This window comes from Homo sapiens, chromosome 15 (assembly GCF_000001405.40).
Source record: "Homo sapiens chromosome 15, GRCh38.p14 Primary Assembly".
Classification (NCBI taxonomy): Eukaryota; Metazoa; Chordata; class Mammalia; order Primates; family Hominidae; genus Homo; species Homo sapiens.
In genome coordinates this window covers 57,745,060-57,770,332 of record NC_000015.10, presented here as the reverse complement: position 1 = coordinate 57,770,332, position 25,273 = coordinate 57,745,060, and the positions used below count along the sequence as shown (strand labels likewise).

Genomic DNA, 25,273 nt, shown 5'->3' with positions numbered 1-25,273 from the left:
AGAAGTGAGGTGCACTGGCAAGGGGAGGGAGAAGTCGGTGCAAGCCAGAGCATCTGGGGTTGGGGGGTATTGTTGGGGTAAAGGTATGAGCTGGGCCCCAGAGGACCAGTGGGAGTTGGAAGGGATGAGCTGAGTAAAGAAGGCATTCTGGGGAAGGCTGGGGGAGCTTTGTTTCAAAACTTCAATTGTTCCAAAAATGTCCACTGTAGGTAGTTGGGGTTTTTTTGATCCAAGATCCAATTAAGATGCACACATTGTATTAGGTTCTCACATCTCTTAACTCTCCATTAATCTAGATCAGCCTCCTTATCTGGCAGGCATTTTTAAGAGGACTTAAGTTTAACTGGTAGAAGTCTGGGCCTATTGGGTGAATAAGGTTAAGAGAAAGGAAGTGACAAGGTGGCTATTCAGTTATGTTGGAGAACCTGCTGGGATATTTGAAAGGCTCTAAATCCTAAGTCAGCATCCACCTTGCAGAAGAGTTTTAGAACCTGCAGAACAAAAAGAACATAGAGATCATCTGGTCTAACGCCTTGAATTTACAAAAGACCTGTCTTTGGAACAAGATGGGAAGTCAATCATTTTACAGATGAGAAAACTGAGGTTCCTAGAGACAACACTACTTGCATATTAGCACTTCCCTAAAAGAAGGCAGAGCCCTTATTAAAACCTCTTCATCTCCTTGGTCAGCTCTGCTCTCCCAAATCCCATAGAGAGCTCTCCTCAGGCACCGTGGTGGATTCAGGCACTATGCAGGGAGAAAAGATGTGTCCCTGCCATGGCTTCACAGCAGGACCAAGATGGCGGATGGTGACTCAGAAGAAACTCACTCACTCCCTTCGGGGCCAAGCCGGGTGGATAACAGCCGACGAGGCTGCTGCAGCTGCCTGAGGGCTCCCGTGAGGATGGAGGGCTGCGCCAGAAAAGCTTCCGAGCCGTCCCACATACCAGGCCGCATACACATGGCCTGCAGTTTCCGTTAGCAGGCTGCACTACTCCAAATCTCAGATAATTGACTTTGGACAGAGATTTATGTGGATTTTTTTTTTTCCTTGCCCAGAAAGGCAATCAGGTCCCAGGGAAAGAAGAGCTCCAGTCAGCTGCAGACCATACAATCCTTATTGGCCTCAAAGAACAGAACATTTCTCAGAAATATCACTGGGGGCCTGGCCACAGCAATATTACAAAGCAGCCTCTTCCACTGCCTTTCATACCTTTTCTCTATCTGGCCTCTCTTTGCAGATGCCTGCCACTGCCCAGGATATCCGGAGTTTGTCTTCTGCCACGGCCTCTCCAAGGCAGTGTCAAAGCTACTAAATGTCTTTTGCTTTTCTCCCATCTGACTCCCATTGGCTCAATTTTCTGCCCTCTGAAAATTGTTTTAGAGAGGGGTGTTGGAAACTATTTCAAGTTTAAGTAAGTGTGGCAGGGTGATTTGTATTTTTGAAGAAAACCTCAGAGAAACAAGGTCTTTGAACCTAAAGGCACTTGAGAAATGATTGAGCTCAGAGCCAGTCAAACTCTGTTCTGTGAAGCCCACGAGTCCTGCAGATGTGTTTCTGAGGCTGCCGCCAGGCTGGGAGGGCCCTCAGGTGGTCAGGGAGTTACCTATCAAGGTTCCAACCACAATTTCTTTTCAGGGCATTTTACTTTTCAAATAAAAGATTAAAAACCAGTGATCAATGCTATAATATGAATCAATCTGGAAGAAGCCACACCCGATAGACCACACGTCATTATTCCATTTATATGAAATGTCTAGAAGAGGCAAATGCATAGACACAGAAAGTAGATTGGTGGTTGGCACGGGTCAGGGGGAATGGGGAATTCAGAGTCACTAGTAATGGATACAGGGTTTCTTTTAGAGTTGATAGAAATGTATTAGAATTGGATAGTAATGATAGCTGCAGAACCTTGAAAACATACTAAAGAACTATAAATTGTATACTTTAAATGGGTGAATTTCATAGTACGTGAATTCATCTCAATTAAAAAAAAAATCAGTGACCTTATCCAATCCTTCCCCTTTTCAGCTGAGAAAACAGGTCTCAGAAAGATGAGAAAGATGAAGAGAACTACTTAAGATGTGCACACCTGAGAGGAGCGAAGCCCAAAGTCCAATGTGTCCCTAATAAAATCCCAGGCTTCATGGGGAGATTTCAAGCCGCAGGTAAAGTTACCTGTATCCCTCGAAAGCACATGAAAGAACCAGCAGCTTGTACCGCCTCCGTGGAAGGCCAGCCCTCAACAGGCAGAACAATGGCTCCACCCCATGTCCCTCCTGTATGGTAGCTGCACCTGACAAAGATAACTTGACTGGAATATACCCTGAGAATGACCCTGTACAGCAGATACACCTGAATGTGTGTTCAGAGTTCTGAGCTAAGGAATCCAGGAGTGGCCAACTCAGATATCCATTTCTTATCTATGAGAACACCTGAGCCCCCTGCCTGTCCCATCCCATGGCGCAAAGGCCACACAGGGGATCAAGGCCCTTTGTTTTAGGTTAAATGAAGGTTGCCAGGTGGAGGTTGTTAGGGTGAAGGGTGTTAAGTGAAAATGCTACACAAACTGCATGCCTTTTACAAGAAGTTGTGGTTTTCCTACACAAACTGCATGCCTTTTACAAGAAGTTGTGGTTTTCCTGCCCAGCCCACAGCCACCGAACACTGCCCCCTGTGTTTAGCCCCCAGTAAAATCCCATGTCTCATTTGGCTCAGGGTCTCTTCTTTGGCCTCTTGAAACTGGTGCCTTCCCCACTGGAGTTGACAGGGATTTGGCAGAACATCTGCCTCCTGTAATTTAACTCATGAAATAGAAAGACATTGCTGTAGTGCCTCAAGGACCCCCCTGATTAGAACAGACTATGCCCGCCCCCAAGTGATTGTACAGTTTGTGCCCAGCTGCAGGAGCAAATGGGGGCCTGTGCTCCATTCACCAAGCCTTGGCCTAACTGCAGAACTCTCCCCAGCTGTGTAGTTGAGCTCCTTCCCTAGGAAGTGGGGTAGATAATGCCTTCGGAGAACTGAAGAAGTTAACAGATATACAGTTCCCATGCAGGCATTAGTATTTTTATTACCATGAGGAGATGCTTCAAAAGGGCCTCAGTGCCCAAGGGCAGTGTTCTATTTTTGCAGCAACCACCTCTCAGGTAGAGATTCAGAACTGCATGTTAGAAATGTCCTAGATCCATGTCTAAAAGAGAAAGGGCTGGGGACAGGAGAACTTTCATAGAACATAACTTGTCTCAGGATATAAAAGTTACATTTTTCAACACAGAATCAAACAACCTCTCTTCCCCATATTTCTGCCTTAATTTTTTAAGGCTGTGGCAGAAGAACTGAGGCACAAGTCTGACAATCCAGATTCCATAAGTGAGCCTGAGGGTCTAGAGATGGTGCAGTGATGAGGTATGGGCGGACGTTGAACCCAGCCCTGCCAGCTCCCCTGGCAGCACACACATGTCCTGGTGCTAACAGGGAAGGCTGGCCCCATAAAGCAGCACCAAGAGAACTGAAAATTTTGGGACAGGCCAAGTCAGCACTGCTCTGCGGCTCAGCAGGCAAGGCTTGGTGCCCCAGAGGCCCATGCAGGGTGGGAGGGCAGCCATGCCAGCCTGTCTTAGGCAGCAGAAACCAGGCTGCAGAGTAGAACCCAGAGTGACAGAAGCCAGCAGTGAGTGGCAGCCTTGACTGATTCAGGAGGGCAGGTAAGATGAAGTGTTCCACTGAGAAGGAAGCTGCAAGATTAGAGGATTTGCAAGACGTTGCAAGAAAGTGGATTTATCCCCCCACAACAAGTAGGGGTTGGAGTCAACAGGAAGTGAGCATTCATGCTCATGGAATCTTATCCACATTCACAGCCCAGAAAGACTTAGGGTTATTGAGGTTATGTACCATCAACACTTTGCTAAGAGCTGAGGCAGGAGTCAAATGGGAGGAACCAGATGACGCTAAGAACAGAGCATGGACTATTTAGAATGTCTCTCAGGGAAGGCTTCAAGAAGACAGTGATGCTTGAGCTGGTGTTGGAAAGATGGGAAGACACGCTCAACAAAGAAAAGTGTAGAAGAAGGGCCCAGAGTTGACAGATTTTGTGTGGGCAACAAGGGGATGATACATGGTTGGGCAGAGAGAAAGGGGCCAGGTTCCTGAGTTGGCTGATGATGGTGGGCACAACAACACAGATAAACTTGACTTTCCCCTGGACACCTCCAGGACCATGTCTGAGAGGATATAACAGGGACTCACAGAAGTTGAAGCCTCTACTAAACTCTTACCTGAGGTCCCCAGAAACTTGAAGTGAAGAATAGCCTCCATTCAAATCCACACAGTTTTAACCTAAAATTCCAGACATCAGTTGAATGGAAGCATTTATTCACAATGAGGTAACTAATTAGAACGTACCAATCTGAAGGAATTTTCCCTAAGGAAATGTGGATATAGCTCAAAGACCTCAATTCAAAGGACGCACCAATCAGTTAATTCTCGGGCAGGGCCCACGTGTTCTAACTCCTGACAATCTGATTTTCTCATGAATGTGAACAGGGAGGAGGAAAGAGGACTAAGGGCATTTTCAGGCATCACCTGCATGTTTTTTGAATAGGCAGAAAAAAATTAGGCTCAGATTCACCTGACGCCTTCACACCATAGATTATGAAGCCTCTCTGTAGGAAGCACGCTGATCATGACATGGACTAAGCCACCTGGGCCCTCATTATCCAAAAAAAACAAAAACAAAAACAAAACACAACAAAACTCTTGTGCAGTAAAACCCATACCCCCATTTTGGGAGTTGGGGATGTGGAGAAAATTCACCCTAGCTACCCTGGCTATCATTTAGTGGGCTTCAGTTGTTGGTAATTTTCTGACAGTCTTCACCTTGATATTTATAAAAGCCCCCAAATTCCCATGTCATTTACATGACACAATAACCTATAAAGTTCCAAAGAGAAATGTTTCTTTTACCACTGGCGTGGACAATCAAAAGAATGCAAGTTTCAGGTTAGAGGGGAGAAAAGAACTGCAGAGGTTTGCCCAGGCAGAGAAGGATGGAGCATGCCCGTTTCATGGCAACCAGTGTCAAGGTTGCAGCCAGGGAGAGACCACCAGCTGCAGCTCAAGCCTCTTGAGGACAGGAACTGTGTTGTTCATTGTGGGCAGACCCCCCAGTGCCTAGCATGTGCCTGGCCCATGAGAGGTGCTCAATGGGTCATCACTGGATTTAAGAATAAACAGAAGGTTGTGGTGCAGTATTATTTTCAGATGCATATGCAGGTCCATATGAAATATAATCAGTATGTTGGGCCACATATAAATAAAATATATCTGGTGCCCTGAGTATGTTGAGTGCATAACAAACTTGGATTATGCAAGTAATGGCATGTGTCCCTCTGCCCAGCAAGGATGTAAATCATTCTCCTTCATTTTCAAAATGTCAGCTGGAATGGCTGCTTGAACATGGAGTTAAAACATCTGGAGCCACAGAAATTCAGAACTCCAGGCACGTGTCTGAGAAATTAGCTAAGAAGTGATAACAATCTATAACATGCCAAGGATTCATTTGAGACACTGGCTCTCTCAGAGACAATCCAAGGACATGGAAAGGGGGTCTTGTTAGGATCCCCAAACTCTACCCCTATGATGAGTTCGATCTGCACCATCTAATAAGATAGCCAATGACCACATGTGGCTACTGGGCACTGGAAATGTGGCTAGCCCAAATGGAGATGTGCTGTAAATTTAAGATACATACCAGATAACAAAGACTTTGCATGAAAAATAAAATACCTTACTAATAAATGCTTTATGTTGATTATATGTTGAAATTATAAAGCTGTGGATATAGGTTAAATGACGTTTTTAAAAGTAATTTCACCTGTTTTACTTTTTAATGAGGCTACTAGAAAATTTAAAATTAAAAATGTGATTCACAACAGCCAAAAGATAGAAGCAAACCAAATATCCATTGACAGATGAATGGATAAACTGATATATAAACACAATACAACATCAGTAAACCTTTAAAAGGAAATTCTGACACATGACAATGTGGATGAACCTTAAAGACATCATGCCAAGTGAAATAAGCCTGTCACAAAAGGACAAATACTGTATGATTTCACTTAAATGAGGTACCTAGAGCAGTCAAATTCATGGAGACAGAAAATAGGCTGGTGGTTGCCAGAGGCTGAAGGGAGTGAAGAGTTTTTGTTTAATGGGTACATAGTTTCAGTTTGGAAAAACAAAGTTCTAGAGTTGGATGGTGGTGATGGTTGCACAACAGTGTACATGTACTTAATGCCAAATTGTACACTTAGAATTGGTTAAGATGGTAAATTTTATGTACATTTTATAATAAAATAAAAAATACAATTAACTAGAAAGACTTTTACTGAGTTACAAGAATGAAGAAAATCTTCACTTTACTAGATTTGTGGTTTCCAAGTCAAAAATATTACTTCATTGCTTCTCAAGCTTCAACTCAAGAATTTCTCTACATTAAAGGGAACTGCTCACTGGTTATACAGCACAGTGTGCTAGGGCATATCAAAGGGAATCCGAGGTCTGCCTGGGTTCCTGGGTCTGACTGTATATGAGCTGACATGAGTAGAGACCTCCAATTTGGGGCTAAGGAAGAACTGTGCAGCTATTTGCAGGGTCTAGTAAGATAAAGGAGAGAGATGAGAACAATGAAGTTGTCACATGGACCCATCCCTACCAAATCTCTCAGGACTCCAGAGAGAGAAAGTTAGGGCAAAAGGAAAGAGGGTGTTGTCAAGAGGAACTGGATGAAACAGTAACAGTAGGGCTGCTTTGGGATCCAGGTGACAAACAGCACACAGCAGGAGAGGTCTCTTGTCGCTCCACTTAGGCACCCAAGCCCCTGAGAGGGGTGTCTGTGGGAGCAGAATCTACTCTGGGCACAGAGGCTGGTGTTGCCACCTGCACAGACCAAGACGGGCGCAGGGGAGGGAAGAACATGGCAGGAGCCACCTGGGGACTACATACAACAGGCTGGTTCGTGGCCACATGAGAGGTTTCTCTTGGTAAAGTCAGAAATATTTGGAGAGACTTTGTAGGGGACTAGAAGACTCAAGTATGTGAGGGAATGAGAATAGGAACTTCATTATTGACATTCATGTCACTTACTTTGTCTTCTGACTGGTAGTGCCCAGGAGAGGTATTTTATCACATGTGTGCTCTGAAGTTGCCCCAGTTTTGCTCTTGAGGGAAAAGTATCCCATAAATGCGAGAGAATAGTTTAGTAAAATTAAGTTCCTTGAGCAAACAAAAATCCAAAGGCAGGACGATTTAATTCAGTTTGAAAGGACCGTGATGAATAACAAGGAGGAAATCATTCTCCAGAGAGATTCTCCTGAGAAATGGCTCCAAAGCACGAAGCTAGGAGTGTGTTTCCTCGGAAGAGAACCATTGGCAGACACAGTGGGGAAATATCCTTTTATTTATTTATTTATTTTTATTTTTTTTTTTTTTATTTTTTTTTTTTTTTGGAGACAGGATCTCACTGTGTCTCCCAGGCTGGAGTTCAATGGCGTGACCTCAGCTCACCACAATCTCCGCCTCCTGGGTTAAAAAATACTCCCACCTCAGCCTCCCAGGTAGCTGAGACTACAGGCATGGGCCACCATGCCCAGCTAATTTTTTTATTTTTAATAGAGATAGGATTTCACCATGTTGGCCAGGCTGGTCTCAAACTCCTAACCTCAGCTGATCTGCCCGCCTCAGCCTCCCAGAGTGCTGGGATTACAGGCATGAGACAACGCGCCCAGCTGGGAACTCTACATTTTCTAAAGTAGTTGCATGCGACCCTGCACTCCTGACCATAGCCACTAGGGCCAAAGATGTTCATCCCATCTAGCACTAGGGTAGCTGACCCATGAGCCAAACTCATGAGCTGTGGCCCAGCTTGAAAAATTTTCAAGAGCAACCATATCACAAATAGCACAAATAAAGAACAAGCCATTTGGCAGGGGAGATACATATTGTGAGTCCCAACATTGTGAAAGAAAAAACTGTTCCTCTCCCCATATTCTCCTCACTCCTGTCCAAGACAAAGAGAGACATATCTGCTCGAACCAGACTCCAGGACCCCGATTCGACCCTGTTTCCCAGGACCTCATCCCTGGGTCCCAAGGGTTTGTACTTGACACAGCTCATCTTCTATTGCTCCCAGATAAAGTTAACCAACGCCTCTTCCCAGAGTGTGGAGAGGTCTGTTTGATCTTTCTCTATTCTGCTTGAAGCATTCTTACCCTTTTGACCTCCACTCTATACTCCTAATAACTTACAAAGATTAGTGTATTCAAATTCTTCTGAATTATGAAAAGCAATAAAGTTTGATGGCTACTACTCTTTTTAGTCATCATCGCCTTCATGATCATTATTGTAGTCTTTAAGTATACCAGAAGTCCCAAATGAAATTTTTACTTCATGAGTTAGTTCTGCATGAAAGAGAATACCAAGATCAGAAGAAATTGAGACATTCTGTTCTTTCTAGAGAAGGGTGAAAGCCAACACTTCTGTGTATCATCAGTACTCACTGGTGCCTATTATGTTCTTCCTATAAAATCTTAAAGGGCCTCTGAATCACCAAAGCAAGCTGAGAATGTGCCTAGCCTACTTGTTTAGCACTAAGTGTATTCCCTGGTATTTGAATTCTTTGTAAATTTGTGATCTGCCTGTGGGGATTTGGTTATTAGTGGAATGTCCACTCCTTTAGCCCACTGAGCCACACACACTTTGATTTTGACCCAGACTATCTGAGCTTTCATGTTGAGCTCCAAAGTTCTCCTGTGCCTACCCCTACCACAAGATCCAAGGGTAGGTCCTCCCAACAGCATTCCTCATATGGAAATTATATCAGAGCAAAAGCACTCTCGTGGGTTATTTTGATGTAAGCCAGCACCCGTCAGGAAAATCAGGACAACAGCCACAGCACATGGGGTTCTCAGCCCAGCTGCTGCAGACCCTCCCAGAGGCCTATCTCTGTGCACGTGCCTGGGCTCACTCCCCTGCTTGGGAAGCGTACATGATTACCAGCACCCCTCAAGAGTCTGTTACTTTACTTTTTTTTTTTGTTTTTTAACTTTTTAATTTGAAGTAGACTTCCAAAAAGGTTGCAAAGATAGTACAAAAAATTCCCAAACACACTTCATCTCTGATTCCCCACATGCAAACATCTTATATAACCACAGTACAATCATCAAGATTTCAAAATTAACATGTCTGCAATACTTATCTGAGCTATAGACCTTACTCAAACGTCATCCATTGTCCTACTAATCATCTCTTTCTGGCCCAGTATCCAATCCCAGGTCCAATTTTGCATTTAGTTGTCGTATTTCCTTAAGTCCATTAGAGCCTATATTTGCCTCCTCAGTTACTTGCTCTGTGGCCTCAAGAAAAGTGAACGTTTCATCCCTCAGGGGAATCAGCAGCCAGAGGAGGCCCATTCTCAGTGCTGGGCAGGAGAAGAGACCCGAGTAGGCAATTGGTATTTAGGACACTCTTTCCTACAGAAACAAGAAGGTTGGTTTCTACCTCCCCACTCCCCAGCCCTTACCACATGGGCAGTAAGACACACATCAAGGGGCCCTAGAGTGTACCAGAACTGAGGAGAAACATTAGGGTACTCATCCTCCTGCTGTTCAGAGTTCTCACAGGCTACATGACTAATTCTTTATGTCAAAAAAAAATTGGATTTTTCACAGAGAAAAAAAGGCTTGGGGGTTCTCCACCTAGATATGTTCTCTGAACTTGCAATTAGAGTTGTAGAATTTTTGAGTTTGATATTTTAGAGGATAACTCACTCTTCAGATTAGGAATTTGAGGCTCAGAAGATGTGACAAAGTAATGGCACTCCCGAAAACGTCCATGTCCTAATCACCAGTCCCTGGCAAGTATGTTCTCTTACACAGCAAAAGGAACTTCACACATGTGATAAAACTAAGGATCTTGAGATGGATCCATGTCATACAAAATTTAAATGTTGAAGCCCAAACCCCTAAGGTGACTATGTTTGGAGACAGAACCCTTCAGGAGATAATTAAGGTTAAATGAGGTCTTCAGGGTGGGGCCCTAATCCAATATAACTGGTGTCCTTATAAGGAGGAGACTCCAGGGGTGTATGCAAGTGAGGACATAGTGAGACGGCAGCCATGTGCAAGCCTAGGAGAGAGGCCTCAGGATAAACCAACTCTGCCAGTACCTTGGCCTTCAACTTTCAGCCTCCAGAAGTGTGAGAGAAGAAATTTCTGTTGTTTCAACCATCTAGTCCATGATATTTCATTATGCCAGCCCTAGCAGACTAAAACAGGAGATTATCCCGAATTATTCAAATGGGCCCAGTGGAATCCCAAGGGTCTGTATAAGAGAAAGCCATGAGGGTCAGAGTAGCAGAGACATCTGTAGATGCCACCTGGCTTTCAAGATGAAGAAAAGGGTCACAAGATAAGGAATGCTGGTGGCTTCTATACACTACAAAAGGCATGGAACAGATTCCCCCTGAGAGCCTTCAGTAGGCATGCGGCCCTTGATTTTAGCCAACACTTTGATATTAGCCTTACAACACCTGTTTTGGACTTCTGAGCTCTAGAACTGAAAGATAATAAATTTGTGTTGTTTTAAGCTACTAAGACTATGGTAATTTGTGATAGCAACCATATAAAATGAATACATAGGTAGTTAATGTTCCAGGCAAGCTGGAAATTCACATTATCAGGAGTCTCTCAAAGAGGCGAAAAGGAGTTGCACATGCAGCTGCAGGTGGAGAAGGGCTACCATGCGACTCTGATGTAGTTTTCTACTCTTTCAACAGATACCTTAATTCTTACTGTTCTAAAGGAACCAATATTCTCTTCCTTTAGCAATGTTGTTTAACCAACAGACTTTTTCTTCAACCACAATCAGAATATAATCATATGTCAAACCTTTACTTTCCATAACACACATACACAATCTTCTGGATACATTATAAACCATTTTAGTTACTGTTAATAGGCAACATGGCATAGTGGTTAAATACCATATTCTGGAGCCAGACTGCGTGAATTCAAATCCCAGCTCTGTCTCTTACTAGCTGACCTTGTACCTCAGTTCTCGTCTATAAAATGGGGAGAATAGGACTGATCATACATGTCTGTTGACAGTAGTAAATGTTGGCAAAACATTTATTTACTTAATTATAGAAACAGTCTCACTCTGTTTCCCAGACTGGAGTGCAGTGGCAAAATCAAATAGCTCACTGCAGCCTCGAATTCCTGGGATGGAGAGATCCTCTCTCCTCAGTCTCTCAAGTGGCTGAGATTACAGTTCCAAGTCACTGTACCCAGCTTGGCAAAACATTTGGAACAGTTCCTGGGCATAGTTATCATATGAGTATTTGTCAAATACATTTTTTTAAAATATGCCAATGATATTACTTGAACCAAAGAGCACCCTTTGAATTAACAGCTACTAGATGTAAATTTTCTTGAAATGTAAATAGATCACATTACTGAGATCCTTAAAGCCCTTTGATTGCACTAGTTTAAAGCTGGCCATCCCTGGATGGAATCCAGTTTACAGACGTGGGTTATGTGCCTGTGGTTTACATGCACATGTTGTTGGGCAAACATTTAAAATGAGAGATTTCACACAAAGTACATTTCTGACATTTCTCAGAAACTCAGACCTATCCACATGGGGCTTGTATTCCCTCAGAAACACCACCTTAGCTAGAACTGAACAAAAGCCGACCCCTCCCCGGACAGTTCCGGCGGCAGAGCCTGAAGGGTATAATCAGTCACAGTCCCCTGGACTCTGCCCCCCCAACATTGAAGTGAGAATGTGTTGCCATCACACTGTGTGCCATGCACACTGTGATTTTTCTTACAGTAGACAAATTTCTCTTTGCCTCTGTCAGGAGTGGAAAATAGTTCACAAGGGCCACTCTTATGGAAATACGAGAATGCACCGTTCTTTGTAGACATGCAATTTTTTCCTACACATTGTATTAGAAAATGGTGTCAGATTAGAAAAAGTATAGTCAAAGATACCATTTTTTCTACTAGACCTCTTCATTCACTGTTGCTTCATTCTTTGCTGCCTGGTCACATTCATATTTGTGACACCTAGTCCACAGAATAAAGTGCCAATCTTTGGCCTAGGATTTCAGGCCCTTCGTGACCTCATCCCCGTGGACCCCTCAGATTTACTTCCCACTACCTCTCAACACACGCACACACTCTTCAGCAATTTTGAACTATTTTTGGTAATATGACTCCGTGTCTTAATTTTCACTGATGTCTTTTAAACACAACATCTAGTAACGAAAGAGACATTTTTTAGCATGGGGCTCAATCTTAAATCACTAGTATTTATCAGCATGATACATTCCAAAACATCCATGAAAAGAAGATAACATTTGGTTTAATCATGTAACCAAGGTCATTTTGATGATAAATCAAAGCTACGCCATCAAGAACAAAAAGTCTACAAACCTTCAAGCATAATTCATCCTGACTACAATACTGTAAAAAGCATGCATGAGAAGTACAAATATAACCCCACATGCCACACAATGATCGAATAAACTGACACATACGATTAGAAATTGGAAAACATATGTGACAGTATATATTTTGAATAGTATTAATAACATGTTGACATTTCCTCCTGGAGGTTCAGACTGTGTATATATTACCAGAATCATCTTAGCCCAAACAAAATTGATCCTGTTTTAGGAGAGATCTTTATGTGGTTGAGGGTTCAGAGTAAATGGAGAGGATGCCGAGAAGAATTTTTGATTTAATGGACATCTGTGAGAACAAGGTGATCATGACTAAAAGTGTTATGCGTATGTCAGACCCTTCAGGCAATGGAAGGGGCCCTGATTTGGGGACGGCAGGGAAGAGGAGGAGGTCTATCCCGGACCCTGGAAACTTAGCAAAATCATGGGGAATGGAAAGAACGAAATTTTGATAGGTCCCTGAAAGGCATGAGACTGGAAAAACTTCTCATATTCAAATTCACACATGTGTTGATATACATATATCATTTTTAGGTGTTCCATTTTTTCAGATGAAGAAGCCAATTCCCTGAGAGTTTAACTTTCTCAAGAACAAACCACTAATAAGAGCCCAGATATTTGAACTCTAATAACTATATAACAGTTGCTTCCCATATGGTACTGCATAAAAGGGGGACATTTCAAAGCCTCAAGACTAATTCTTCATCTCAAAACTATTTCAGTGTTAAAAGTCTATGATTCTTTTAACTTTGGATAACAAATGATAGAGAAAAATTAAAGCACTCCATTCATTATAAGTAATGACACATCTCCCGTAGGTAAATAACTACCACCATTTATTGAGCACCTACTATGTGCCAGGCACCATACATGTTTGTCTGATTTAATTCTCACAATACTATGAGGTGAGGTGGGTAGTGTTATCCCCATTTTACAGAAAAGAGATCATGTTCAGAGTGATACAATAACCTATTCTTGTTAAATAAGTGAAGCCAGGATTTTTCAGGTATCTCAGATAAACTCCAAAACCTGTGTTCTTTTTGCAATGCTAAACTGCCTTTCCAAATAACATAGCATAATAGTTGTGATTCTTCATTGACATTTTGAGGCCAGACGCCAGACCAGATGCTTTCCTTAGGCTCTCAGATAATTGTTGCCACAACACTCCAAGGTATTGTTGCACATTTATGTAAATGGAACAGACCTTCTGAGAGGTTGACCTGGCAACATCAGAAAGTCTATGTTTGAATGAAAGTCTTTTGGGGTGCAAAGCCCAGGCTTCGCTCTAAAAGGGCTCACAGCCTTTGGTGAACATTCTAAATGTAGTGATCGGTTTGTCTGGATGGTTGGTTCTCAGACTCTCGTGCATTTACAGTCAGCTGGACAGCTTTTTAAAATTCCGTTGCCCGTATTGTTTGAGCACAGAATTTTGTTTAGGATTATGAAAAAGTTATGGACACGATAATGGTCGCACAACATTGTGATTGTTCTTAGTGCCACCGAGTTGTACACTTAAAAATGATTAAAGTGATAAAGTTTATATTATGCTTACTTTGCCATACCAGTGTTAAAAATTCACTACCCCCACAGCCTTATCCCCAGAACCCCTGGCAATGGCACCCAGGTATCTGTATTTATGAAAGCTCCGCACTTGATTCCAATGCATGGCCTGCCACGTTTGAGAACAGGTGACTTCGAACAGGGCCTCTCAAACTTAAGTGTGCATATGAATCACCTGGGGGAATTCGTAAGATGCAGCAAAGCCTCAACCTGTCTTATATTAGAACCACCTGGAGACCATTTTCCCAGGCGTTCTTCAGACTCTGCTTCCCTGGGATGCTAATAGAAAAAAAATAAGGATTCTACGGATAAAGAAGATTGGGAGACACTGGGATAAATTAAGCTAAGTAAGCATCTCTTTAGATGCCTTAGTGTGCTGCACGTATTGTGAGTTGCCAAGAGGGAGATGGCTAGGGCGCAGCACTTCCCAGGCACACATGACACCGGAAGGCTTTTCATGGCAGAGCAATGCCGAGGTGGGTGATGGCTGCTCCATAGCATTGCATGTGGGAGACACTGTCAGCCCTGCTGAACTGCCATGGGGTTGCCCTGAAATCAGCTTCTGTTTCCAGCAGACACAACTTGGGATATACATAGAGTGGAGGCAGAGATGACATTGGGCCTTATACTGACAGCCAACACAGAAGGCCAAGAGAAAGGTGAGACCCTCCCCGACACTCTGGTGAGCAAACACCTCCCAGCCCCAACCACTCATTTCACCTGCTTTAAGGTCAGAGACTTTAAATGAGCCTCTTCTACTTGAGGGGCCTCAGCTTCCTCACCTGTACAAGGAGGAGGTTGGGTATTGCTCTCTAGGGTCCCTTCTGTAGTGCTAACGTCGCAAAGTATGGGAACGTCCAACACTAGCGCTCGCAAACAATCAGGATCACAATTGTGAAGTTCAAACACTTGGGTGCATTTAGGACCCATTAGATTTGGAATGAATAGAGGATTAAATTTAAATTGATCTAAAATCCTCACAGACAACATTTTAGCATAGAGGTCTAAGATGAAATTTAGTAGGTGTCAGTCTCTGACTTTCCCTCTGCCTTACTCCCAACCTCAAAGCAAGTCCTACTGATCCTACTTGGAATCTATGATAGGTCCTGCATTCCTGTGCCAATTCTCAAGTCATCCTCACTCTGCCCAAAGTCCCCTTTCTATAGGGTAAATCTGACCAAGTCTCTCCAACAATCAGACCTCAGAAGCAAATTGAGCACTTTGACCTGCCTACGGCATCAGTCCCTGAATGCTAGGCTCCAGTTCCACTCAGATTCTTGCAAGTTCCCCCACATCCTGCCCTCTCAACCCCTGGAGCATGCTTAGCCTGCCCGGCCCATCCTCACTACGTTAGCCGGATAACTCTACCTAGACTCTAGGTTGCAGCCCAGTTTCCTTCCCTTCTAAGTCCCTCCTGACCCTTCACTCTCCACCTGCTCCCAAGCCCCCTTTAGGCACCAGCCCTGTGCTCCCCAACACTCTGGTTAGCAGTTACCACCCTGCATGACAGCCCCCGATCCCTGACTCTTTCTCCCACTAGATTCAGGGTAGGAACTGAATCTCATTCACAGTTGGAACCCCTGGCCCTGGCCTAGGGTCTGAATCACAGAAGGTGCACGACATAGACTTGCTGGACTGCTCACATTCTGAGCCCCAAAGGCCCTGAGGAAGCAGATAAAGGATCTTCTAATCCAAGGCAGGTTGGACACCCTGAGAGCCCTCAGCATACATCAGTGAGGCCCGTAAGGAAAAGGATGCAAAACAGTGGTACCCAGAGCCTGGAAAAACCAGCAGAGGACCTGCGTCCTACTCACACAGATTTAATATGGACATCACATTCTGCTACTTCCTGCTCACTCTCAGGGACAAAGCTGCCCAAATAACCAAGCCTATGCTCCTTCCACCATGTCTTAGTCCACTTACGCTACTATCGCAAACACCAGACTGGGTCACTTGTAAAGAACAGAAAGTTATTGCTCACAGTTCTGAAGGCTGGAAGTCCAAGATCCAGGCACCAGCATGTGGGGTCTGATGAGGGCTACATCCTCACGCAGTGGAAGAGCAAGCAAGCCCAAAGCTCGCAAAGCCTCTTTTATTCATGAGGGAGGAGCCCTCATGGCCTAATCATCTCCTAAAGGCCCCTCATAACATCACATTAGCAACACCTGAATTTGAGAGGCAACCTAGTCAAGCCAACAGCAACCTCTATCAGATCCCCACCCCCCACCAGACCGGCCCCTACATACTTTCCAACATTTTGCCCCACTATTCGCTTCGTTTGCCCACAGTCCAACCAAAGAAAGGCTCAGCTTCCCTATACATTCCCCAGCAGGGCCCAGCTTCTGTTTGCCTGTGCAATGCCTTCCCATCCCCCCCAGCTCACTCTGCAAATGTCCCACCTCTTTCTTACCGCCTCAGCTCCAGTACTACTTCTACATGAAGTCTTCCCGGCTTCCTCCAACTGGAAGCAACAGCTCCTCCCTTGCTTGTCTCTCCTGAAATAGTGTCCCTTTCTAGCATACCTTCCCGTTTTCTATATATTTGTCCTATTCCTAGGCCCTTCGTGGGAAGACACATTATCTGCTTTACAGCACAGAACCTTGCACCATGGCAGGCTCAAAGATATATAGTAAATTCCCTACTTAATTAGGAAGTAAGCAACATTGTAAGACCATGGACTGTGAGTTGGAGCAAATGATAATAACAATAACCACCACAACAGCAATCATGCCTCTGTTTGTGGAGTCTTTATACCTTATACACACCTTTACCTTCGCAAATATTAACCAGTCAAGTCTCACGAATATCTCTAGGGTGGGCAGCATAAATTCTATTCTCCCCAGTTTGCAGGTTGGTGGTGAGTCTCTGGGAGGCCCAGTGACTTACTTAAGGCACCACAACCAGCCACGGGTAGGGCTGGGCCTGCAATCAGGCCTTCTACATCCAAGTCTGACCTTGTTTCATGACACCATGTTGATAACAACACTCTGGTCCACTCTTGCTTTTTCAATAAGAAACCTACAAGGAGCGTGTATGCACCTGCAGTTCCAGATCCAAACGAGCCTGGGGCACAGGGAGGAGGCAGCCTTCACTGGGAGGTCTCCGCTCAGCCAGGCTCCCGGCACCACGTACCCACTGAGCTTTATTCCCTACCATTGATGTTGCCAGCTCTGGCCCTGGGTCTGAGGAGCAACACTGCTGCAGCCGCCAGCTGGCAACTGCCCAGCACTGGGCAGGACCCATCCTTTGCCCCCTTCCCCGGCTGCCTAAGACACGCATTCGCACTACCTCCATGTACCAAAAAATAAAAATAAAAAATAAAAAATAAAGGGAAAAAGAAAAAGAAAGTCTGGTTTTGCTTAATTTTAATCCTGGAAATGGAGAAACACACTTTGCTTTTGCTTTTGGTTTCTCACCAAAAGGCCGTAGGAGTTTACAGCAGCTGACTCCTACAGGACCCCAGCATTTCCTTAGATGGGCAATCAGAGCGGCCGCCCACTGTGTGCAGAGACACTGGCTCCAGCTCCCCCAACAGGCTCTGCGAGCCCTGCACTCAGTCCTGCAGCGCAGAAGCCTTCTCCGGAGGAAGGCTAGCTCCTCCTGAAGACAGTGGGTGAGACAACACTGCCCATCTGGGAACCCACGGGGCCTCTGGGAAGCCCATGGGGCCCCTCTGCTGTGGATGAACCTGGTGGTGCATTCTTCCCAGGGCCAGGACTAGGGGGAGCAAGTGAGGCACGCTCCTTGGTGTAAAATTGAAGGGGGCACCGAAAAATGCAGTGATCAAGAGACATACCATTTAAATGCAACAGCAAGAAATGAACATTAATGCCAAAAAATAACATGACGAATCAAGGAGCAAACTTCCTCACAGTAAAAAGCCATAAGGAACAGAAGCAAGGTAAATATAATACCCAAGAGCCAATTTAATCTCAAGTAAAGTTTCAGAGCAAAATTTTATATTACTGGGGACAAAAGGGTAGGTACATCAATGGAGACATTCCCACCTTTAGCAGTGCTGACCTTGCTCCTATCATACCTGGGGCTGGGCAGGCAAGAATGGAGGGAGCAGGAAGGGGAGTCAGCTTAGGTAGGAAATGTCATAAGCAAAGCCTGGGTGGACATCACCTCAAAATATTGCTAGGGCACAAATTCAAATAATCCCTTTCATTCTTTTTTTGTTTGTTTGTTTTTGTTTTTGAGACAGAGTCTTGCTGTGTCACCCAGGCTGGACTGCAGTGGTGCAATCTGGGCTCACTGCAACCTCCGCCTCCCAGGCCCAAGTGATTCTCAAACCTCAGCCTCCAGAGCAGCTCAAATCTTCTCTTTCATTCTGATGAGAAAACTCTGCCTTATTCTTTGAGCTTGTGGCAGTTGTCTGTAGTAGCAATCAGAGGGTTAATTGAATATAATGAAGATATAGAGGAGGACACATCAGTTAATTAACTTAGGAGAAAACATTCCCAGGGTTTTGATTTACTTCACAGGAAGAAGCAAAATATTGGACATCTTCTATTATTTCACTCTTGCCTAGAGAGTAAATGTGAGATAAACTTGCCGAAAATTCCAAAAAGGTTGCTATAATCCCTAGCCATCTCAGGGGTGATGTTTTCATTACAGGGAATAAAAGGTTGTCTTTAAAATGCAAACACACCCTGAGTAATCCTCTCAGGAATCTACTTTGAAGCCACTAGATCTTACCATTTTGGTTCTGGGGCTTCTGAAGAAAATTGCAAAGGAAAGAACTAATTCCTTTTTTTTTTTTTTCTTTAATTGGAAAAGTTTTTGAACCAACCTGCTTCCATGATGGGCAGTGAGATGTTTGCTGTGCTGCTGACATCTACTGAGAGACTGTGAAATAGCAGTTCGGGAAGTAAAGGAAATCAAAGCTCCTCTTGAGAAAGCTCTGTCTCTAACAGGTGATGCCATCTGTAGCACATCATCGACCTTTGAGCAAGCACTCATCAATTTCCACAGAATGTCAGGATCCTGGAATGTTCACCCAGGCAGCTTGGAAAAAGGAATGGGGCTGCAGCCATTGTGGGGACAGCAGTCTCCCTTCTAGCACTCTCTGCAAAAGGAAAGGAAACGCTTCTTAGAGCTTGATACCAATTTTCACACTCAGTCCCCTTAGCACCCTTCCAGCTTAGTATTAGTAACTCATTGTACAGATGCAAAAACTCAAATCCACAAATGTCCCGTGGCTTATCTAAAGCTACACAGCTAGAAAGTGTCAGGACGGGAATGAAACACAGAGAGTGACCTGTCTCTGCGCCTGTGCCCTGTCCATACTTTCTGTCCCCAAGAGAGCAACACCATAGATCCAAACCAAAACCCCAAAAAGCCCAACTCTAGGAAATGCACAGGCTCCACTTCACTCCCAGGAGATTCCTATGGATCTATGGAAGAAAATGAGGCAGTGACCGAGGAATTTAAACTCTGGGGTGAAATCATTTCCTCCCAATTATTCTTCGTCTAATGACAAAGATGCACCACTAAAAAAGTGACCTATGCCCTCTAACCTCTGAGAAGATCTGAGTCACATGGCAATTCTATTTGTAACATTACAAGATTATAGAGGCCAGTTTTCCCTTCCTCCTCATTTTCTTCTCCCCCATGACATTTTTAGAAAGTCACATTCATTTATTTTATCATTAGCTATATGCCTTAACCCTGGCCTTCAGTGCAGAGCCTGCTTCACTCTTCTGTAAATTAGCTCATTCCTCTGCAGGTGGACCCCAAATAATCTAGCATGTCTTCCTTCCACACATAGAGGCACCTGTTTGCACACACTTAAAGCTATCCGTCTAAACAGAAAACTGTTTTTGATGTATGTCATTCTGTGGGCAGCTTTTCTATGCCATGACTGCTAACATAAAAGGAGATATGAGCCAAGTTTTGAAAAAAAAAAACTATTATTTCACAGAAAGTGGTTATCAAAATAGTAAAAATAAAAATAAAAATAAAAATTAACTTCATTAAAAATGATGGTATCGGGCCGCAGGGGGGCGGAGGTTCTGCTGGTAGGTCAGCCAGGGAATGAAAATGAGCTAGGGGTGAGAGTACTTTTCTCTATAAGTTGGTTTGGTAAGTTTTGTCTTCTTTTAGAAAGCTGGGTTCCAAAAGGGTAGACAGAGGGCTCATTAAGTAGTTATTTTTTCAGTTACTGGTTTCAACTAATTTTTTGGAACTGATAATGCAGGTACATGGTATAAATTTCAAAAGATACAAAAGACTATACAGTAAAAAGCAAGTCCCTCTCCTACCCTGGACCGTGGCCATTGGGCTCATCTTCCCTGACGCAAGCTTGCCAGCTTTTGTATATCTTTCCCTATATATACCATATATGCACATTTACAGATGTTCTTTTTAGCTTTAACCACATAGCCATATACTATGCACCCTGGTCTACACCATGGTCGTTTCTCTTAACCACATATCTTGGAGATTCTTCATCAACAAGTAGAGTTTAAACAAGTTGGACAAGGCCACCATGGTTCCAAGAGCACCCTGTAACTTTATAAGAAGTCTTTATGAGTGGTTGCCAAAATGAATGTCATCCTGGGGATTACAAGATCTTTTCTCTTTCGAGGCACCACCAAACTATGACCAAGAATGCTCTGGGATTTTTTTCATCCAGGGTTTCTACCTTAATATATTCAATTGGATGACAAATTTCTCTTATACTGGGTGCATTTCTATTTAATTTTCTTCTTCAGTGAACTTAAGAAGAGAGCATCTGGGAATCACGAATTCAATAATGAAGTTTAATTCAAAGTAGACTTGTATGTTTAAAAAAAAAAAAAAGAAAGAAACCACACGCAAGACCATAGTATTCTCTTGCAATGAAGCAGATGCAATGGAAAGAAGATTGAGAAGAGGTGGCTTCAGGGGGCTGTTCTGCAGGAGTCAATACTTGACTATGTCCCTAGGGTTCTCAATGTCCTGGTCTTAGCTCTTTTTCACTCATCTAGGGAATCTGCATTAGAAAGTTTTACTGACACTTTATTAATTTATATGAAAAAGAAAAAAATACGTGTAAATGCAATCAGCATTTCTGACCAGGGACGAACAGATTCTCTATTCTGGTCCCAGCTGATTTGTAAGTGGGGACACACAGCTCTGGTCCCATGATCTAGTCTAGTTAACAATAACTAGTTCTGTGACCTTAGCCAGGTCTAAGAATTTCCAAGTCTAAAATGCTGGTGACTGTCACATCCCCTTGCCTCAACTTCACCATACCTTCTCATCCCAAATTCTTCCACACCACCCTAATTCTCATGAACTTTATACATTTTACTTTCATCAGCAGGTTCTTTTCCTAGAGCAGCTAACAGGGATAGTGGACATCACTCTGCATATGACCAGAGCGCTGGTACCCATCAGATCTGGCCCAGTCTGTGGAGCTGCTTGCATGGGGCCGGGCACAGTGGCTCATGCCTGTAATCTCAGGACTTTGGGAGGCCAAGGCAGGCAGATCACTTGAGTCCAGGAGTTGGAGACCAGCCTGGGCAACATGATGAAAGTGCAAAATACAAAAATACAATAATTAGCCAGGCATGGTGGTGTGCCCCTATAGTCCCAGCAACTCAGGAGGCTGAGGTGGGAGGATCATTTGAGCCCAAGAAACAGAGGTTATAATGAGTCAAGGCTGTGTCTTGCACACCAGCCTGGGTAACAGAGTGAGACCCTATCTCAAAAAAAAAAAAAAAAAAAAAAAAAAAAGATCTGCATGAGCCAGGCTATTTGAGAATGGGTGTCAGCTTTTATGTCCATTCAAATCCAGAAAGGGTTGAAGCCCCCTTCAAAACACAGCTCAGCCCTCTACTCACAGAGCCCTCCGGTTCCTTTGGGTCCAGGAACACGGAGTGGAGGAGGTCAATCCTGACATCTGTTCTTTGAACCTGTCAACGTTCCTACCATAGTAGCACCAGATATACTGATTGGAGAGATTGGATGTGAGCAGCAAACCTGCCTAGCAGTCCTCCAGGTTAAATGTACACAGTGTTTCCACAAAACACAGTCAAATGCCCTTGGAAGGATGTCAAAATATGTTGCTTGATCCCAAAAATACTCTCCCAAAGATGCTCCCAAGGATTGTTTCAGACTGGCCTTGTGTTCCATGAAGACCAGGGCAGCTCAGATTAATATCAACATTTCACATACTCTAACAACAAAATGCTCCACAAAAAAATGCTGTCTATCAAAAAAGTACATGAAACACAGACTTTCAAATATTAAGACCAGATGTCGGAAATACTAAAGACAGCATTTATTTTCGGCATACTCAGTGAGATAGAGGGAAATGTATGGTATATCAAATGAACATAGCTTTCACTGGATTTTGCCCCCAAATATTGACCAGTAACAAAGCGGTTTGTGCTTAAAGACATGATCCAAAAAGGAGGTTTCTTTCCATTCTTGGCAGGAACTCCTCTAAGCACTAAGCCATAATAGCTCAATAAATAAACAAAGTCACCTCTCATTGTCCAATGTTCAAAATGTCAAGTGCTAAGGGAGGGCAAATCGTTCGCCTTCTCTCAAGTACCCATCGATTTAAATTATAATTACTCCCCTGGTGACAACAAAAGGGGTTATGGAGAATGCAAGCAGGACAGTTAGTTCCTGAGAGAAATGTTTCTGTATCCCTTAAAAGACGATTCCATTAAAAGAGGGTGCCTCAGAGCTTAGGGATTTGGGCTCTTTTTGGGGAGTTCATTGCCTTCCCCCAAGCTTCAAGGAGGAAAAAGGGGAAGTGGGGCCTGAGGAGGAGGAGGGGTCCTCACAAATGCCTCATCAATACTGGGCAAAGCAGCACAGCCCACAGAATGTGTTTCTCACAGAAAACCACGGCGTCCACTGACAGAACATTCGAGGCTGCACCGTCACACCCGGAAGCCAGGCAAGCCCAGAGAGCTCACAAACGAAAGTCACTCTGGTGGAGGAGCTTGGAGCCGTGCGTTTCAAATTTCCTGGCTATTGTCAATTTGTCTAGCAAGCTCCATATTATCTACACTTAAGAGACTTTTAATTTCCTTTCTTAATAACAAAAATCTGTCCGAGGTGGTTATAAAACGTCTATTTATTTACCTCTGGGACCAGGGCTGAGGGCAGCGGGAATGGACCGTGGGTTAGGGAGGAAGAAAGGGATGAGAAGAACTTCTGGTTTTCTTTTGCTTAAATGTCTTCAGCCCCCTGGGTCCCATCCTCCCTTGCTCTGGCTGATCTCAGGAACAAAGCTGTCAGACAAGGAGCGCTTGCTCACCTTAGCTCTCCAGGCCAGGCCACTTAAACATTTGCCGGGACTGACTCAAGTCCAAACAACGAGGAAGGCATCTGTTCCTAGGAGGAAAATTCGGAGAGTCTTGCTGAGCAGTGAATTTGTCCAGCAAACTGACTCTCATCTGGAGCTGGGCTCATCAAACTACAATCCGCAGGCCAAATCTGGCCTACCATGTGTTTTTGTAAAGAAAGTTTTATTTATTTCAGGTACTGGGGAACATTCCATGTAAGTTAAGGGGACTGATCTGGCTCTGAGAAATGGGCAGGAGCAACATAACCAGAGAAGCCAGTGTTTTGGGTAAGGGTAGCATCATGGAGAACAGAGAGAAAACTCCTCAAGGCTTTCAAGGAGGCCTCAAAGGAACAGAGAGCCCCTTCTACTTAAAAGCAATAGAAAAGAACAATAATAATAGCTACCACTTATTCAGGGCTTATAATTTTTGCCTGTATTAATTCATTCTGTCCTTACAACTCAATAAGGTAGGTATTATTATTATCCCCATTTTACTGATGAGGAAAGCGGAGCACAGAGAGGTTAAGTATATTGTCAAAGGTCACCGAGCAACTAAGTAGCAGGGCTGAGATTCTAGCATGGTGAGCCTCACACTAGAGCTCACCTGCTAACCACTGTGATAAAATAAGGCCGCAGAGAAAGGATGGAGCACAAAGTGGGTTTTTTTCTTGAGAGGTGGTAAGAGCAGTATTTTGGGAAAATTAGTTGGCACTGAAGAGAAATTTACCATCAAGGAGACAGAGAAGAGAACATTGCTGTTCATCTTGTTGTGAGTGACAGGAGACTGAACCAACATGGCGGCAGTGGGAACAGGAAGGAAAGGCAAGACCAGCCAAGGCTAAGACCTCCTCACCAAGAAGCATTTATGGAATGCTGCCCTGCATGGCACCCTCCACACCTCTCTCAATCTTGTGATTGTCTTAAATTCTTCGTGCATTTCTCTTCTTTACGCTGAGTCCCTTAAGGTCTCTCAGTGACTTTTATTCATTTCTCTACCCTTAGCCCAAGCCTGATGCCTGATGCCTGATGCCTGATGCCTGATGCAAGACCAGCATTCAATAGACTTGATAAATGACTCCAAAGTTGCTAGCTAGGGACTCTAGGAAGCCTGGCGGGAGGCCTGCTTGAATGGATGTGCACTGAGGAAGCCATCTTGAAGGGAGTGAGAGGATGGAGGACGCTGCCTTGGGCACACTGAGGGGCCTTCGGACCTGAGAGTGGAGATGTCCTGTCAGCGGTTGGAAATGCGGTGTGGGGCACAGGAAAGGGTCATGGCTGAAGAGGTCGACTTGCCCGTCATCTGCAAAGAGGTGCTAATGAAACCATGAGAATAGACGAGCTCAGAGAGAGGGAAATGGCAAAGGGAAGGGGCCGGGGCTGAAAGAAGCCCATTGTTGGAGAGTGAGAGGAAGGCGAGGAGCCCATGAAGGAGCCGCCCAGAAGGTAAGAAGAGAAGAGCAAGGTCAGGTTATGGGGCGCCCCTTTCTTTGGGAGCTGACAGACACACTTATCAGCTGGCGAAGGAACTCTCACAGTCAACAGGGCCCCAGCCTCCCCACCCTGAGATCCTTCCGCAGAAAATTATCCCTTAGAGAATATCAAAAGTCAAGATAAAGATGAAATCAGGTGGCCTAGGTGTAATTCCTGGAGGTAGGCATGGTCCCTTGCCTGAGGTTGTCTGCCATCCTTCCATCGACCCTTCTTTCCTTTAGCTTCAGCTTTGGTTCCGGTTAAAACAGGCTGCATGCCCCCACCAAGAGGAGCAAAAGGAGCACTATCACTTGGTCACAACTGAGTGTGAATGACGGCTCTGCAAGCAGGTTTGGGACAGTGTTCAAGGACAAGCAACAGATCACTGGGTTCCCAAGGGAAGAGGTAGGACAAGTG

General features: G+C 44.2%; 1 long non-coding RNA gene across 2 annotated transcripts in view, besides 2 other annotated features; it reads right to left on the bottom strand.

Annotated features, from left to right (window-relative positions):
- Window positions 1–25,273, bottom strand: part of LOC105370834 (uncharacterized) — a 50,352-nt gene that overhangs the window by 12,430 nt on the left and 12,649 nt on the right. Inside the window, exon 4 of one of the 2 annotated variants that reach the window (XR_001751554.3) lies at window positions 18,887–19,162. This is a non-coding gene — a long non-coding RNA (uncharacterized LOC105370834). Of the gene's footprint in view, window positions 1–18,886; window positions 19,163–23,071; window positions 23,434–25,273 lie in introns of those variants that run through there. The other variant, XR_001751555.1, reaches the window with a different exon arrangement.
- Window positions 17,353–17,949: an enhancer, noted in NCBI's record as "H3K4me1 hESC enhancer chr15:58044582-58045178 (GRCh37/hg19 assembly coordinates)". NCBI's record gives its function as "activates a minimal SCP1, AML or CMV promoter by ChIP-STARR-seq in naive H9 embryonic stem cells {active_cell/tissue: H9 hESC(naive)}" and the evidence as "EXISTENCE:reporter gene assay evidence [ECO:0000049][PMID:30033119]".
- Window positions 18,372–19,124: an enhancer, noted in NCBI's record as "OCT4-NANOG hESC enhancer chr15:58043407-58044159 (GRCh37/hg19 assembly coordinates)". NCBI's record gives its function as "activates a minimal SCP1, AML or CMV promoter by ChIP-STARR-seq in primed H9 embryonic stem cells {active_cell/tissue: H9 hESC(primed)}" and the evidence as "EXISTENCE:reporter gene assay evidence [ECO:0000049][PMID:30033119]".